Source organism: Homo sapiens, chromosome 1 (assembly GCF_000001405.40).
Source record: "Homo sapiens chromosome 1, GRCh38.p14 Primary Assembly".
Classification (NCBI taxonomy): Eukaryota; Metazoa; Chordata; class Mammalia; order Primates; family Hominidae; genus Homo; species Homo sapiens.
In genome coordinates this window covers 53,310,926-53,325,124 of record NC_000001.11, presented here as the reverse complement: position 1 = coordinate 53,325,124, position 14,199 = coordinate 53,310,926, and the positions used below count along the sequence as shown (strand labels likewise).

At 56.0% G+C, this 14,199-nt stretch overlaps 1 protein-coding gene across 4 annotated transcripts in view, besides 3 other annotated features; it reads left to right on the top strand.

The window, feature by feature from the left end:
- LRP8 (LDL receptor related protein 8) overlaps nt 1-14,199 on the top strand; it is an 85,707-nt gene that overhangs the window by 2,946 nt on the left and 68,562 nt on the right. The window lies entirely within an intron of this gene.
- Nucleotides 4,847-5,532: an enhancer, noted in NCBI's record as "H3K4me1 hESC enhancer chr1:53785265-53785950 (GRCh37/hg19 assembly coordinates)". NCBI's record gives its function as "activates a minimal SCP1, AML or CMV promoter by ChIP-STARR-seq in primed H9 embryonic stem cells {active_cell/tissue: H9 hESC(primed)}" and the evidence as "EXISTENCE:reporter gene assay evidence [ECO:0000049][PMID:30033119]".
- Nucleotides 5,533-6,218: an enhancer, noted in NCBI's record as "H3K4me1 hESC enhancer chr1:53784579-53785264 (GRCh37/hg19 assembly coordinates)". NCBI's record gives its function as "activates a minimal SCP1, AML or CMV promoter by ChIP-STARR-seq in primed H9 embryonic stem cells {active_cell/tissue: H9 hESC(primed)}" and the evidence as "EXISTENCE:reporter gene assay evidence [ECO:0000049][PMID:30033119]".
- Nucleotides 12,715-13,214: an enhancer, noted in NCBI's record as "H3K4me1 hESC enhancer chr1:53777583-53778082 (GRCh37/hg19 assembly coordinates)". NCBI's record gives its function as "activates a minimal SCP1, AML or CMV promoter by ChIP-STARR-seq in naive H9 embryonic stem cells {active_cell/tissue: H9 hESC(naive)}" and the evidence as "EXISTENCE:reporter gene assay evidence [ECO:0000049][PMID:30033119]".

Genomic DNA, 14,199 nt, shown 5'->3' with positions numbered 1-14,199 from the left:
GTTGTTCTGTGGTCTCCTTAGAGTGGGAGTACTGAGGACGAGGCAAGGAATAGAAACTGCGTGTCTGGGCTGGTTATGCCTTATCTCCCTGGCTCTTTATAACAACTGTCCTTGTGAGGATGGCTGTGAAAAGCAGAAATTTTCTTGTCATTCTACTTTCTAGATAAGGATGCCTCCTCAGAGAAGTTGAGTGACTTATGCAAGGTCACACAGCTCAGGATGACAGAACTTGGTCAGGATCTCTGCCTGCCTCGAGTTCAGGGCACTGTCTGCTGAGGTGGGGAGTGTGGTGCGGAAAGCACCAGGAGTGTGATCTAGGAGCTGGAAAGACGGGCTTTAAATGTTAGGCCTGGTGCGTTTCAGCTCCATGTGAGGCTTTGGACGAGATGGAGGAGTAAAGTAGCTGGGTGCTGAGTGACGCTCAGGTGGGCCAAGAGAGCTCCAATGGCCAAGCTGGGCTCCTGCATGGCTCTGAGATGCATGGGGTAGAGTCATAGGCAGGGAGTTATTAAACAAAAGTGAATGACGTCAAGCTTGGAGTGGAAAGGGTGGCGGCGCTGCTGATAGTACCAAGTAGTAATCACACATGGCTTGGCTTTTCTGAGCTTGTTTCCTCATCTGCCAAACAGGGGCAGCTGTCCCTCCAACGCTGGCTGTGCACATAGACACACAGGGCTGGCAAGAAGGGAACGGATGGATGAGTGTTCCCACCTCCACGGCCTTTAGAAACGGACTCCTGGTAGCCATAAAGGGAAACTGAAGAAACGGAGTGGGGCTTACGTGGCTGTGTTGGGGCCAGGTGCTGGAAAATGTTCTTTCCTCAGCCCTTCCCGCATTCTAGGCCACCTGCCCAGACTGAATTTCTTTGAACTGTTCTCCCTGCAGGAGAGAGAGCTGTTGGCTCGTCCCTGAGGAGCTCTTTATTAAACCTGGGATGGAGGGGTGATAGGTGCTGGGATAACAAAATCTGCTCCTCCCTGAGCAGTCTCCGTGCCTTACCCCTGACCACCCTCTTTGGCACACCACCCTGCAAGAGGGCTTGAGCTGCCCCACCTTTGTACATCTCTGGGCCTGCAAAATGGGGGTTGGAATTTGTAGATAGAGTCTGCGTGAGGCAAAATGAGTCCAAGTTCCCAAAGGGGCCAGAATGCAGCCCCTGAATACCAAGAGGCTGGAAGGAGGGAACTTTTAAGGAAGCCAAGAAAGGCTTCCTGGAGGAGGAGACTGCTGAACTAGGCCTGAAAGATGGTAACTAATAGCATTCCCCCAGAGTTTACCATTTAAAAACAGGTGGTATTGTTCCTATATTATAGAGGACATAGGCTTGGAGAGGTGAAGTGACTCCCCCAAAGTCACAGAGCTCCTCAGGGTTGGAGCTGGAACTCAAACTGAGGCCTTCTAAGTCCCGAGCCTCATCCACAGTGGCTGGGACTTGGCTCTTTGGAGACACAGATGGAGCTTGCGGGATGGAAGAGGGAAAAGCTCCTGGGGCTTTAGTTCTCAGCTCAAAGAACCTTCAAAGTGGAGGAAGGAGCTGGAAGCTAGAGAGCCAGGCCCAAGGAAGCCCAGCCAGGGGAAGTCGGGTGGGATTCCTGGCTGTGGGCCTGGGTCACGTAGGCCAGCTGGCCCCTGGGCCTCAGTTTCCTGTTGCTCCCTAGTGTCTGGGGGCAGAGGCAGAGATTCCGGTCTCTGGCCTGGCCTTTACTCCCAGAGTCACAACAGTAACCATAGCGCCGATGAACGCTGTCTGGGCACTTGCTGTGGACCGGGCATCGTGCTGAGATTGTCCACACATCGCCCCTCGTTCCTCTATTCTATAAAATGGGGCAACACTATGAAGTACCTGAAATAGTCCTATCTCATCGAGGCACAGACGGGTTACGTAACTGGCCCAAGGGTGTAGAACTGCTGGGGTGTGAATGCGGGTGACCAGCTATGGAACTTGTACTGTCTCAAGTACTGGCTGGTGACTTAGGTAGGTCCTTCCCAGGCCTTCATTTCCCTGTCTTGAGATGACATCTTAAGGCTACTCCACCTCGCTTCCTCCTCTAGGAAGTTCTGTGCTTCTCGCGGAAAGGCTGGGTAGACAGGTGGACCAGTTTTGTGCTCACTGACCTCGACTTTGTTCAGGCTTCTTTGGACTCTTTTGTTATCCCAGCACCCATCACCCCTCCATCCCAGGTTTAATAAAGAGTGGCCACAGGGAGGTCTCCCATGGCTGAGAGTTCATTAGCTGGGCAAGGCCAGGCTGCAGGAGTGCTGAGTCTTGCTGGGAAACAGCCTCATAAATAATTAAAGCTCGGCCACAGCTCCCTGCCTGTGCTGTAGCCCGCATCTGGCCCTCAGTGTGCGGCCTGGACGTGTGCTCCTGACACTGGACCCAGCCTCATCTCCTTCGTGGATGGAGCCATCTGACGACAGTGTGGCTCCTTTCTGAACCTCCCCGTCTTCACCTGACCGGGCAACTCCACCATCCAGAGTCCTCCTGGGGCTCCCAACTATCCAGAGAATAAAGTCAGTGTAGACTCCTCTGTATTTGGCCCTCTGTGACCTGCTCCTGTTACCCACTTCCCTGCAACCTCTTCCCGCCTCTTCCTGTGAGCCTGTGACACCAAATTAGCTTCTGCCACACTCTCACCCTCCTGCTGCTTCTCACCTCCAGGCCTTTGTGTGTGCTATTCCTCCTGCCGGACACCCTGCTCCCTCACTGGCTGGATTCATTTTATCATCCTAAGAGATCCGGTGCAGGTGTCACCTCCTCTAGGAAGCCTTCCCTGACACCCCATTGCCTCCAGGCTGAGATACAGGATTTGAGTTACTTAGAGACCCATGTCAAAGTCACAACTCAGACACACCTGGTTTTTACATCCCAGCTGTCGCCTCCTGGATGAATGGTTGTGAGGATGATACTAGGCCCTCCTTTTCGGAGATTAAATGTGAGGATTAAATGAGGTCACATGCCTGGTAAGCAGGAGGTGTTCAGTGAATGGCAGTGGGTGAGGTTGTTCTTGGTGGGAGGGGTTTCACTGAGGTCTCTAGGTACCTGACGTCTGGTCTTTGCAGGCCAACCCGGACCCCTTGCTTCCCCTGCTCCTGTCTGCTTAGCCAGATGTCGAGGTTCCTGCAGCTGGTGCTCGCCTCAGCCAGGGAGTTGCCCAGCCACCGTAGAGGTGACAGAAAGCTGCTTGGAAAGGAGCTGGGGGAAGAAATGAGTCAAACAGGCCTAGGGCCCTAGGAGGGGCAGCGGATGGCTTCCCTCTGGCTGTGTGCTGGTCCTAGAGGCTGGCTTCTGTCCTGTCTGCTCCTTTCCTCTTGGCTGTGCCTGGGGAGGAGAGGAGGGCCTGCATCCCCCATGGCACTGCCCAGCAGGCCCTAGCAGGCCTTGGGAGTGTTTGCTGAAGACTTTCCCTTGGGCCCTCCCAGGTCAGCATTCCCCGGTGTGAGTCCCTTGGGCCTCAGGGATGGTTGGCTTCTTCCTCCCCAGTTGTCTGCTGGTGGCCGACTTGACAACTTTCCTCCTTGGGGAAATGCTGGTAGCAGGTGAAGCCAGAGAGAGAGAGACCCCCAGGGGGCAGTGAGGAGCGAGAGCCCAGAGGGCGGATGGAACAGGCACGCCCTTGAAGGAAGTAAATGCATGCATGCTCTCCCAGCACCAGGTTAGTGGTCTACTCCCAGGCCCATGCTGTCCCAGGGGGCCAGCACTGGGGTCTGTGGGAGGGTGTGGGGTTGTGTCCTTAGGGTTGTGGAGCCAGGCCTTGCAGCCCCAGGCCTAAGTAACGTTGGTAGCACCTGCCCCCCAAATGCCCACACATCCAGATCACCCAGGCTCTGAAGGCCTGGCAGGGATGCCACTTCCTCCAGAGATGCCTTTCTAGACCCCTGTCCTCCAGCCCCTCAGGCCCTGAGCTCCCACAACGTGTCCTTTTTCTTCCCGCAGTTGCAGATCCTTCTCAACATTGTGCACTCCGCCAGCCTTGTGCTGGGCAGTAGGAATTCCAAAGTCGTTTCCTCAAGGGGTAGCTAATAACAGCTATTGGCTGCCTATATCCCATGCCTGGGACCACGTTGGACAATTCACATCCTTTAACTTCACTACTCACAACCCTGGGAGGGCTAGTTTTTCGTTCTCATTTCGAAGATGATGAAACTGAGGCTCAGAAAGGAGACGGAACTTGGCCAATGTCATGACCATTAAGTGGTGGAGCCAGGAGCTGACCCAGGTCTGTCTGGTCTGGAGCCCAGACTCTTCTTAAGCCGTTCCCCGCTGAGCGCTGTCTACCCTGGTGGGGTCAGAGGCTGGTGCTTGGAGGGTGTGGGAGGAAGTAGGGAGCAGCTGCAGGACTCAGCAGTGCCTCCCTGAGCTACCAGTTTCTGACCTGGGGAGTGGGACTGGGGAGGGACCCTGTTCTCTGGAGACCCCGCAGAGCCCTCACATAGGCCTTTTCCAGCTCCCATGGGGATGACATTCCAGTTTTCATAGGCTTCTCTCAGCCTTTGCCTGTTAGATGCTGATTCTTCTTCTGACTGTATGGAAGGGGAAACTGAGAACCTGATGATAGTGATGCACATGACCTCAGGGAGTGTCAGCCCAGGGTCATCTCTTTTACTCTCTGTAGTAACACGGGGCCTGGCTGCCTCCTCGCACCCAGGCTTAGAAAGGTGAAACTAAGGCCCTGATGGTCGAATTGGCTCCATCGTCAGTAGGGCACCATTCTCAGAACTCAGGTGTCCTCAATTCTGGGTGGGACTGGAGTCAGAACTGTATGTGCTTCCCCCTCCCACCCCCACCCTCTTTGTTCCCTGCTGGATCCGGGAACAGGGTGCTCTCAGGCTGAGGGGTGGACACAAGCCTTTTGCAGTACCGAAGGGCTTTGGGCTCCTGACTGGGGACCTCAGGTGCACCACTGGCCCCACTGGGCCCTGCTTGCCCACTTCTGGATTGCCAAGAAGTCATCTAAAATACTCACGTTAACACTAAGAAGAGTTAGGGAGCGAGCTAGTGAGGGGCTTTCTCATGCAAGACCTCCTTCAGCCGGTGCCTTGAGGTATCATGACTGCATTTCGCAGAGGAGAGAACCAAGACTCTGAGAGATGAAGTCACTTGCCCCGGGTGGCCCCGCTGGTCAGTGGCAGGACTGGGCCATGCCTGTCTGGCTGCAGGTCTGAGGCAGCTGAAAGGAGATATGCATTCACACATCCCAGTCACGATGACAGTAAAGTGTGGCTTGCAGGCTGTGCTGGGGCCTCTCTTCCTTTCCAGGCGTCCCTCTTTGCCAGCACCTGCTAGTGGGTGTGCCAACTCCCTCCTGAGCAGCCCAGCCCCTTGGGCGCCCTCCAGCATGAGCTGGGTCCCCCGGCAGCGGTTTTAATTATCAGCCCTGCTCACCCCAGCTCCTCTCACAAGCTGCCATATGTCATAGACTCCAGTAATCACCCCGCAGCCGGAGTGGCAGGGGAGGGGCTGAGGGCCTTCAGGGGAATCCTGCTCAGTCTTGACCGAGTTCCTCACTGACTGTACCCGCTCTGACCTCTTTGTCTCTGGTGGGGCCCAGCCTAGGTACCCACAATGGGAGAGCCGGGCCTAGCTGCTTTGGGGGCATAGAATGCGGCATGCTCTCAGGCGCCATGGAGTGTCCTTGGGAAACTGAGAGTCACCCAGCGAGCCCAGGGCTGTGGGGCTCATGTGGTGCACACAGTTCCCATGACCCCTCATGGCCTCTACACGCCTGCCCCTTGGAACGTGGCATGTGGCAGGACAGACACCCCAAAGCTGTCTGCCAGTCTGTCTAGGAGTCCACGGGAGTGGTCATTTGGCCCCCATCCTCCCCTGGTCACTGGCCTTGAGGTACCACAGGGGACTTCATCCCAGCCACTCTGGAGGGCATCTTAGTTTCCAGCCCTCTCAACCTGCCGTAATCCTTGGATGGCTTTTCCAGTTGGTGCCTCACAGGTGTGCTCCTGGGAGGCAGGCGGTGCAGGAGTTCATTATGATCCCCATTCCTTGATGAGGAAAACGAGGCTCAGAGAGGATAAGAGACTCACCCAGTTATTGGTAGTTCTGGAGCTAAAACTCACTTCAACTGATTTTACTTATTTAGTTTTCCAGGGTAAGTAACTTCTGGTTAGCTGAAAGTAACTTTACACTTGTAATGAAAAACATAGTTAATAAAGAACAGGAAACGAAGGTTGCAGTGAGCCGAGATCACACCACTGCACTCCAGCTTGGACGAAGGTAGTTCTCACCCTTGCTAGTACCACTATGTAAGCAGCATAGCCTTCTAGAGATTTTTCTCTGCATGTGAGCTCTTGGGCATGAACATATGTATTTTTTTTTTTTAACAAAAATGAGGCCATGTTATGCCGGTTGTTTTCACATATGGCTTTCTATGGCAATAACAGTAGTTCACATCCTTGTTTTAAAGGGCTAGATAGTATTGTATTGTGTGGATCTTCCATAATTTAATGACATTTTCTCCCGTTGATAGATGTGTGTTTGGTTGCTTCCATGTTTTTCCCTGCTCTGTGCAATGCTAGGATGGACATCCTTGAACTCCATCCTTGTGCATTTGCTTGGTCCTTTCTTTAAGATAAGTTCTTAGGAAAGGAGCTGCTGAGTGTGTGCATTTTCATCATTGCCGTTCTGCTCTCTAGAGGGGAGAATCTTTCCCATCTCACAACTCTCTCCCTCTATGGCCCCATGGCTCTCCTTTCCAGCGAGGCAGGCAGCTGAAGGACTTCCCTCTTCTCTGAGCACAGGGCCACCTCATTCTGGTCCCATGGGACAAAGCAGCCATATCCAGGCCACAGAAAGCAAAGCCAGGAGAGAGAACAACGAGCGGTGTTCTGGCCCCAAGGGCTTTCACCCCCACCAAAAAAAAAAAAAAGCAGAAGAGTACAAAACTGTTCCTTCATTCTTCTCAGGATATTGGTAGAAGGCATCTCCTCCGCAGCGTTCTAATTCTTCTATCTATGCCCCTAACTTGCTGTGTGACCTTGGGTGAATGGCTCTCCCTCTCTGAACTTCATTTTCCTTTCACTCATTGGTCCTTATTCCACCTGCACTGCCCCCAGCACTTGGAGCAGACTCCTGTGCCTGGAGCTGGGTTCAGGGCTGGAGCTGGCCAGTCCTTGCCTAGGGCAGGGATCTGTGCCTTACTACCTGGTGACAGTGCGGGGAGTATAGCTGGCTTGGTGGGCTGGATTCTGGGCAGGGAAACAGGGCAGCTGGACTCCTTAGCTCCACTTCCAGAGCTCCACCCTGAGGCCCAGGTTCCTTGGGTGACTTTCCCTTCTGCCTTCTTCCTGCACTCACAATTGGGCCGGATGCAGTGCAGTGATGGAGAAAAATGGAGTGAGGCCCACCAGCTTCATGAGACTTTCCGAAAGCGGGAAAATGAGCCCATATTCCGGAGGTGTGCGGGCTGAGGAAAGTACTTTGCCCAGAGCCTGGCCCTGAAAATGAGCGTTTCCCTTCCCTTCCTGAGCCTGTGATTCCTGCACAGGGAATGGCTGAGTAAAAGGAACCGTCCTCAGCTTTCCTCCTCCTCCACCAAGGACACAACAAGAGGGCAGCAGCAAAATAGCAGCAGGAGAGATTTAGGTCAACTGGCCAGTTGGGAGGACTTGGCTGCCTGAGAGAACAGCAGCTCCTCGGGCTGGGAGGGACTGTCGGAGCCATCTCATCCCACCCCATCTGCGCTGGGGCCCCAGGGTGGCTGCTTCCTGAGTGGCCCAGTGGGGCTGGTTAGCCAGCCGGGCCTGCCACGGTAGTTAGCCACGTGGGGCCTTGGTTCCCCAGTGGGTCCAGGCTAACATCAGAGACTTGGCAGCTGATGAGAGGCAGGAAGGTCCCATCAGGCCCAGGTTAAGCTGCCCGACTGAATAGCTGGAGGCCAAGGGTGGGCTTTCCTGGTGGCCTGAATCCAGGGACATTCAAGCCAGCACTCCTCCCCTCCCTCCCTCCCCCACTTCCTGGACCCTGAGCCGCCATCTGCTGCCCTACACTCTCAGAGCCCTTTCTCGGCCATGGGCATGGGCACATGTGCGTGTGCTTGGGGTGTGTGCTTCAGAGGAGGGGCTGTGTACCAGGAGGGAGGTGACTATTCTGGACCCGTGGAGGCTATGGGGCCAAGATGACACTCTTCTCCCATACCCGCTAAGTCTGCCCAAACCAAGCCAGAGCTCCCCGCCTCCCCACCAGGCCGTCGTGGTGGGGAATGATTTGTAGCTGGAGAGGCGCCAGCAGTCTCTCTTCCTGGCCTGCCCCCTGCCACAGCAGCCTCTCCTCCCCAGGCCATGTGTGCTCTGGTCCCACCCGGAGAGGGCTGCTTGTTATAAACAGCAGCCTTCCTCCTCTGCTCCCACCTTGCCGAGTGGCCATTTGGCAGATGCTTGCCCCTCTTGGGGTCTCTGCCCCTTGGGAGTAGGGCATCTCCAGCCCCTCTCAATCCCATTCTGTGGAATTCTTTTGTTTTCCCCTAAGAGTCAGGGATTCACATGGTGGGAGTCTGCCATGGCCAGGCCCCAGGTACAGGGTGCTCCAAGGAGCTGGCCCTGTTCTCTGAGGCCCAGGGCTGGAAGCATGGGGGCAGGGGCTGTGAAATCCAACCCCATGGGGCCCCAACAGGAGACATGGCCTAAACCACACAACTGTTTATTAGCAGAGCCTACATCTACTGGAGGCTTTTTACACCTACTTATTTTTGTGCTGAGCTCTGACGGGGCTGATTTTTTAATACCTATGAGCCAGTGAGAGCAGACTCTACATCAGCTGCCTATGCAACACTCTTTTGTCTCCCTCCCCTCCCCATTCCCAGCCTGCCTCTACTGCCTACTGTAGGGGCCAAGTGGTACATCAGGCCAGCGTGGCCTCTCCAGCAGCAGCCAGACCTGGCTTCCAGCTGCAGCTCTCCCACTTCCTGGTTGGGAGGCCCCGGGGCAAGTCCCTTGAATGGAACCCCAGACTCCCGCTCTGAACAACATGGGTAATAAATAATTCCTGGCCTATGTAAAGTAGCAGAAACCTCCTTGGCCCTCAGTGTGTGAGTTCCATGAGCCAGTCGGTTCTTCTTACACCACTGAATTGGACCAAGCAAACCAGGGCAGAGTGGTCTGGCAGCCCATGTGGCTTGAGCCCCTGTTCTCTCTGCCACCTCCCCCACCATGCCTTGCCCTCCCCTCTGGCCCTTGGTCTCTCCCACCCTTGAAGATCCTGTGCTGATGTCTCCCCTCTGTGACAGAGGCCTGATCCCTTGTTGCTGCTGGCTAACTGACCTACCTGGCTGGCTGCCCTCCAGGCTGTCAGCCTCACCTTGTCCCCAACATGCCATGTGATCTGGGTGTATTCCTGCTCTGGGGCTCTGAGAGACTGAGGATTAGATCAGTGGTTTGTGTCACTTGGGGCAGCTTTTTAAATTCTGCCCCAGCCCCTTCCAGGCCCATTTGGTGCGAAGCCAGCTGGGAGGTGTAGATGTGCAAGTCCCCAGGACGGGCCCCTACCTCATCCAGGAGAGGATCTATCACGACATGGATAACAGCAGGGCCCTACCAGGCCGCCTGGGGTCAAGTCCACACCTCACCACTTCCCAGATGTGGGGCCCTAAGCAAATGACTTCACCTCTCTGAGCACCTGCCTCATCTGGAGGATGGAGCCGCCCCTCAAGGTGGTTGTGGGATTGACAGGTGAGTTAACTTCTGAGGCACACTAAGAGCAGTGCATGGTGCATGCGCAGTGCTCAATTCAAGATTGCCTGGGCTTCTTTTGACCTCCTTCTCTGAACCTCCCTCTCCCATCTGTCCTTCAGGAATCCCCATCCTTACTGGGCTGCTGCACTGCGGGGTGGAGTAGGAGGAGCCAGGGAGCCCCCAGAAAGACTCCTTTATCTCCCTTTCTCCCCTGCCGCTCCAGGCTGTCACTTGCTGGCCCAGTTTAATTAGGGAGAGGCCTTCTAGGGACCTCATTAGGAAATGAGCCCAGAGCCTTAGGGACCTTCAGGAGGGGTGGGGTGCAGAAGGAGATTACATTATGGTTGGCCCTGCCTGGCCCCTGGCTTTGTGCCCTAAATATGCCTAGGAAGTTATGGACACTTGGTCCTTTAGTGGCCAGGACACAGGCCTGTGACATGGTGCATGGTCAGCCAGGGCTGAAGGGACCCATGCTTCTATCTCCTACTCCCCCTGGGCTCTGGCCTCACCTCCCAGATCAGGATGGAGAAGGGTGACAGAGGAGGCTTATCTGGTTCTGCTCCACCCAGCCCAGGTGCCCACTGTCCCCAGCGTGGCTCAGAGCAGGCCCTGGTGAAGGTGTTGAGTGAATGGATGTGTGAGCTGTGGGCAGCATCTTCATTAGGCCAAAGCGGCCTCCCCCTTCCATCCCAGTGCAGGAGTTTCCTCAGCAGCCTAGTGGGGTGGAGGTCAGGGGGTCCAATGCGTCCGGGGACTGGGCGCTCACCCACTGACGAAGCAGCTCCCCGCCCCTGGACTGCTCTTCCTGTTAGAAAACCTGCTCTTCTGTCAATCCCAGATCTGTCTCCTGCAGCTCTCCTGCCCTCTCTGATCCCAGCTCTGTTAATGGGGCCTCTGCTTACAGAGTCTGCCCCCACCTTCACGGCAAGCCTGCCCCATGTCCCTTCCTACCTGCATTCTTGCCACAGCCCCCATGCTTAGGGAAGTCCAGCCTGTGACAGCTGACTTGTGGTGTGGGCTCAGATAAGGACCATCCTCTCTGGGGCCATTGCTGCTTTGGCTCCCCTAGCATGGGGCCTGGTGGCGTGCACATTCGCAGGCTCTATAAATGTTAGCTGCATCCTGTGACTTGCCTCCCAGGGCTTTGAGAAGTGGAGGGTGAGGACAGAAATGCCGTGCCTGGAGGCAAAGGTATCGTTATGGACAGCTTGCTCTCCTGGGTAGCAGGGCAGCAGCGCCCAGATCCTGCAATGACTGTGGCACAGCACATAGCACTGGGGGGCTGTGGCTGAACGTCTTCTGCCTCTTGGACTAGGCCGGAGTGCAGGCATTGCCTGGGCCTTGGGCAGGAACCTGGGAGTCATCACAACCCCTCTCTTCCTTCCCCCAAGGCCTCACCTTGAATAGGGGAAGGAAGAAGGTCCCGACACTCACCCTGCCTACCTGCCAGCCTGGGCCTCCCCCGCCCCTGCCACCCACTGCCATGCCCTTCCTGGATCTCAGCAGCAGCCCCTGCCTAGTTTCTGTTCTGTCCTCCAAACCCATCTTCGCTCTGCAGCTGAGTGCTCTGAGAGATGCAAAGCTACACCCTTTCCTCGCTCAGCTTCTGCAGTGACGCCCACCCCTCATAGGACCAAGTCTTCTTAACTGACATTCAGAGCCCTTCAAGACCAGACATGTACCTGTCTCCTCTCCAGGTCTCACCTGGCACTGACCCCAAGCCCCAGGCGTCTCCTGTCCAGCCACACCTCCAAGAGAAGCCTCAGGCCCTTTTGCATGCAGGCCCCTAGCCTGGAAGGCTCCATCTCTGCTTGTCCGGCCTCACCTGACCTCTGGAGTCACCATTTCCAGGGTGCTTCCTCCCCTAGGTGGGTCAGAGTCTCCTCTGGGCTCTCTCATCCTTGTGTTTCCCCACACTCTATACCATGATGTCCTGATTTAGAGTCTGTGGTTCACAATGCAGTCCACAAGCCTCAGGGGGACAGGGACCTGTGGAGGACGGTGGAGGAAGGAGGGGTGGAGGGTGCCTCTGGGCTCCGAGTGTGCACTGTGCCCCTGACCCCTTGCTAGGTTTCCAGCCCCTCTTGCCGCACATGACTGGGTGTGGTTTTCTGTGAGTCCCTGGGAAGCGCCTGCTGTGGACTGGAGCCTTTGGGTCCCAGCTCCAACATTCACTGAGGGTTTGTTCTGTGCCAGGTGCCCTGCCAGAACCTGGGGAGGATCTACAGATGGGAAAGCAGGCCACGCCCTGGGGGCACCAGCCCCTAACTTAATGTGTGACCTTTTCTGAACCTCAGCTTCCTCTGCTGTGAAGGGGATGAGGACCCAAGACCCTTCCCTGTTACCTTGGGTACATCTATGCTGTGGCTGGGATCAGACATGGCCCCGCATGACCCTGAGGCTGCAGCTAGACCAGAACTTGCCCTCCACTGGGCCTCTGGAACACTGGTCCAAGCTTCACAGGAGCAAGGGGTGAGCAGAGGTTTTGCTCTCTTTTCAGCGAAAACGCCCACTTCATTTGCCCAGCACGTCAGCATTGCCATGTGCTTGCCATGCATAAATTGAACACGGCTCCTCGGCTGCTCAGAACTATCCCAGTTTTAAAACTCAACATCCTGCATCTCAGGAACCCCTTCAGTTGTGAGCAAACTGGGACACTTGACCAGTCTAGCTGAGCCCCCAAGCCCTGGCCACTGCTCTCTCAGGTCCCCAGGAGGTCCTCCCCATCCCTTGTGGAATCTGCTAGCTGGGCACGGCTCACTTAATTAAAAACAAAGAAAAAGGCCAGGCACAGTGGCTCACACCTATAATCCCAGAATTTTCGGGAGGCTGAGATGGGAGGATCACTTAAGGCCGGGAGTTCAAGGCCAGCCTGGGCAACATAGTGAGACTCCGTCTCTCAAAAAAAAAAAAAATTAGCCAGGTGTCATGGTCCATGCCTATAGCTACTTGGGAGGCTGAAGCAGGAGGATTGCTTGAGCCCAGGAGTTTGAGGTTGCAGTGGGCTATAGTCATGCCGCTGCACTCTGGCCTGGGTAAGGAAGCCAGACCCTGTCTCAACCCCTGCCTGCCAAAAGAAAAGACTGATTTCTTCCTCACCTTTTGGGAGAACTCAAGAAAGAAACAGAGGATCTTGGAAGGTCTGGAAGAGCAGGGCCAAACATTCTGAGTAGGGAGCTGTGTGGATAGGGCCAGGAGGCCTGGCCGCTGTTACAGACTGCCTCTAGCCCAGCTGTGTGACCTCCCTCCCTGGCCTGTTTCCCCATCTCTGCCCTGCTCACCTCGTATGACTGTGGTGAGAATCATAACATTCATGGGCCTGCCTGTGTTACCACCGCCATTTCTATTCTTCCAGGCATGTGGCTGTCTGTCTGTGTCCCATGTTGGCCTCACTCCTCCCAAGTGGAGGGCAGCACTGAGATCGTTGTTCTCATGATGAATAGAAAGAAGCTGGAGGCGCTGGCCACGTGCCTTGTATGAGTCTCTGCAGTCGACAAGGCCCTTCCCACATGTTGCCTCCAGGCTCATGGTGGCCCTTGGGAGGTGGGCCAGCAGGAATGACTCCACCCATTGTACAGATGGGGACACTGAGCCCATAGTCCCACAGCATCTGACTCCTTAATGGTGGGGAGAAGGGAAGCCACATGGGTGGCTGGGCTGTGGCCGTGGCGTGTGGTGGTTACGAGTGGGGTCACTGGTTGGCTGGTCCTCTTCCCCTCCCTATGCCCACTCTGTCGATGTCTTCATCAGTAGGGAGAGATGGAGACAGATGGAAGAGAAGGCAGAGACAGAGGAGTAGGGAGAGAGAGATGGGGTGGGCTGGGGAGCACACTGGGGAGGCTGGGGGCAGGGAGGGTCCACGCAGTATCGCTCCTTCCTCTGTGGTTCTCACAGTCTGTCTGCACCGATTCCTGACAGATGGAGGGAGGAGAGAGCTAGTGCCAAGAGGCTGTCACCACAGGCGGGCAGAGTTGGGGGAGGGCGCTTTGTGGCCAGGGCTTGTGTGGGGAGGGGAAGCAGCTGGTGGTCTGGCTGCTGGGCCTCCTTGGAGCCCACACCCCAGGAACTGCCAGGGGACAAGAAAGTGGGCAAAGGGTAAGCCCGCCACCTGCCTGGGACTGGCCGTGCCCATGCCCCTGTCCAGGCAGAGACAGCTACCCCTCCCCGCTCCTCACACCCTGCTGCCAGCAGGGCCCTCCCTGTAAACTATGGATTCCTCCTGCGCACCCCTCACTCGGTGTTGGGGGTGGGCAGGGGCCTGGGGACTGGCCCTGAGCTGTGATGGGGGTGGACCAGGGCAGGGAGGCCCCCGGGATACCGGAGGGCATGGCAGCTCAGAGCAGGCTGGGGTCTGGGTCTTGCATCTGCTGGCTGGAGCTCAGCCCTCACTGTGCTACCCTGGATGTTTCCCAAGCCCCTTTTCATGGCATAGGGCCTCCTGCATTTCCTCCGGGCTCTGAAGCATGTGCAGGGCTGGGCAGGCATGACCCGGGGTCGATTTGGCACCTTTGTCAT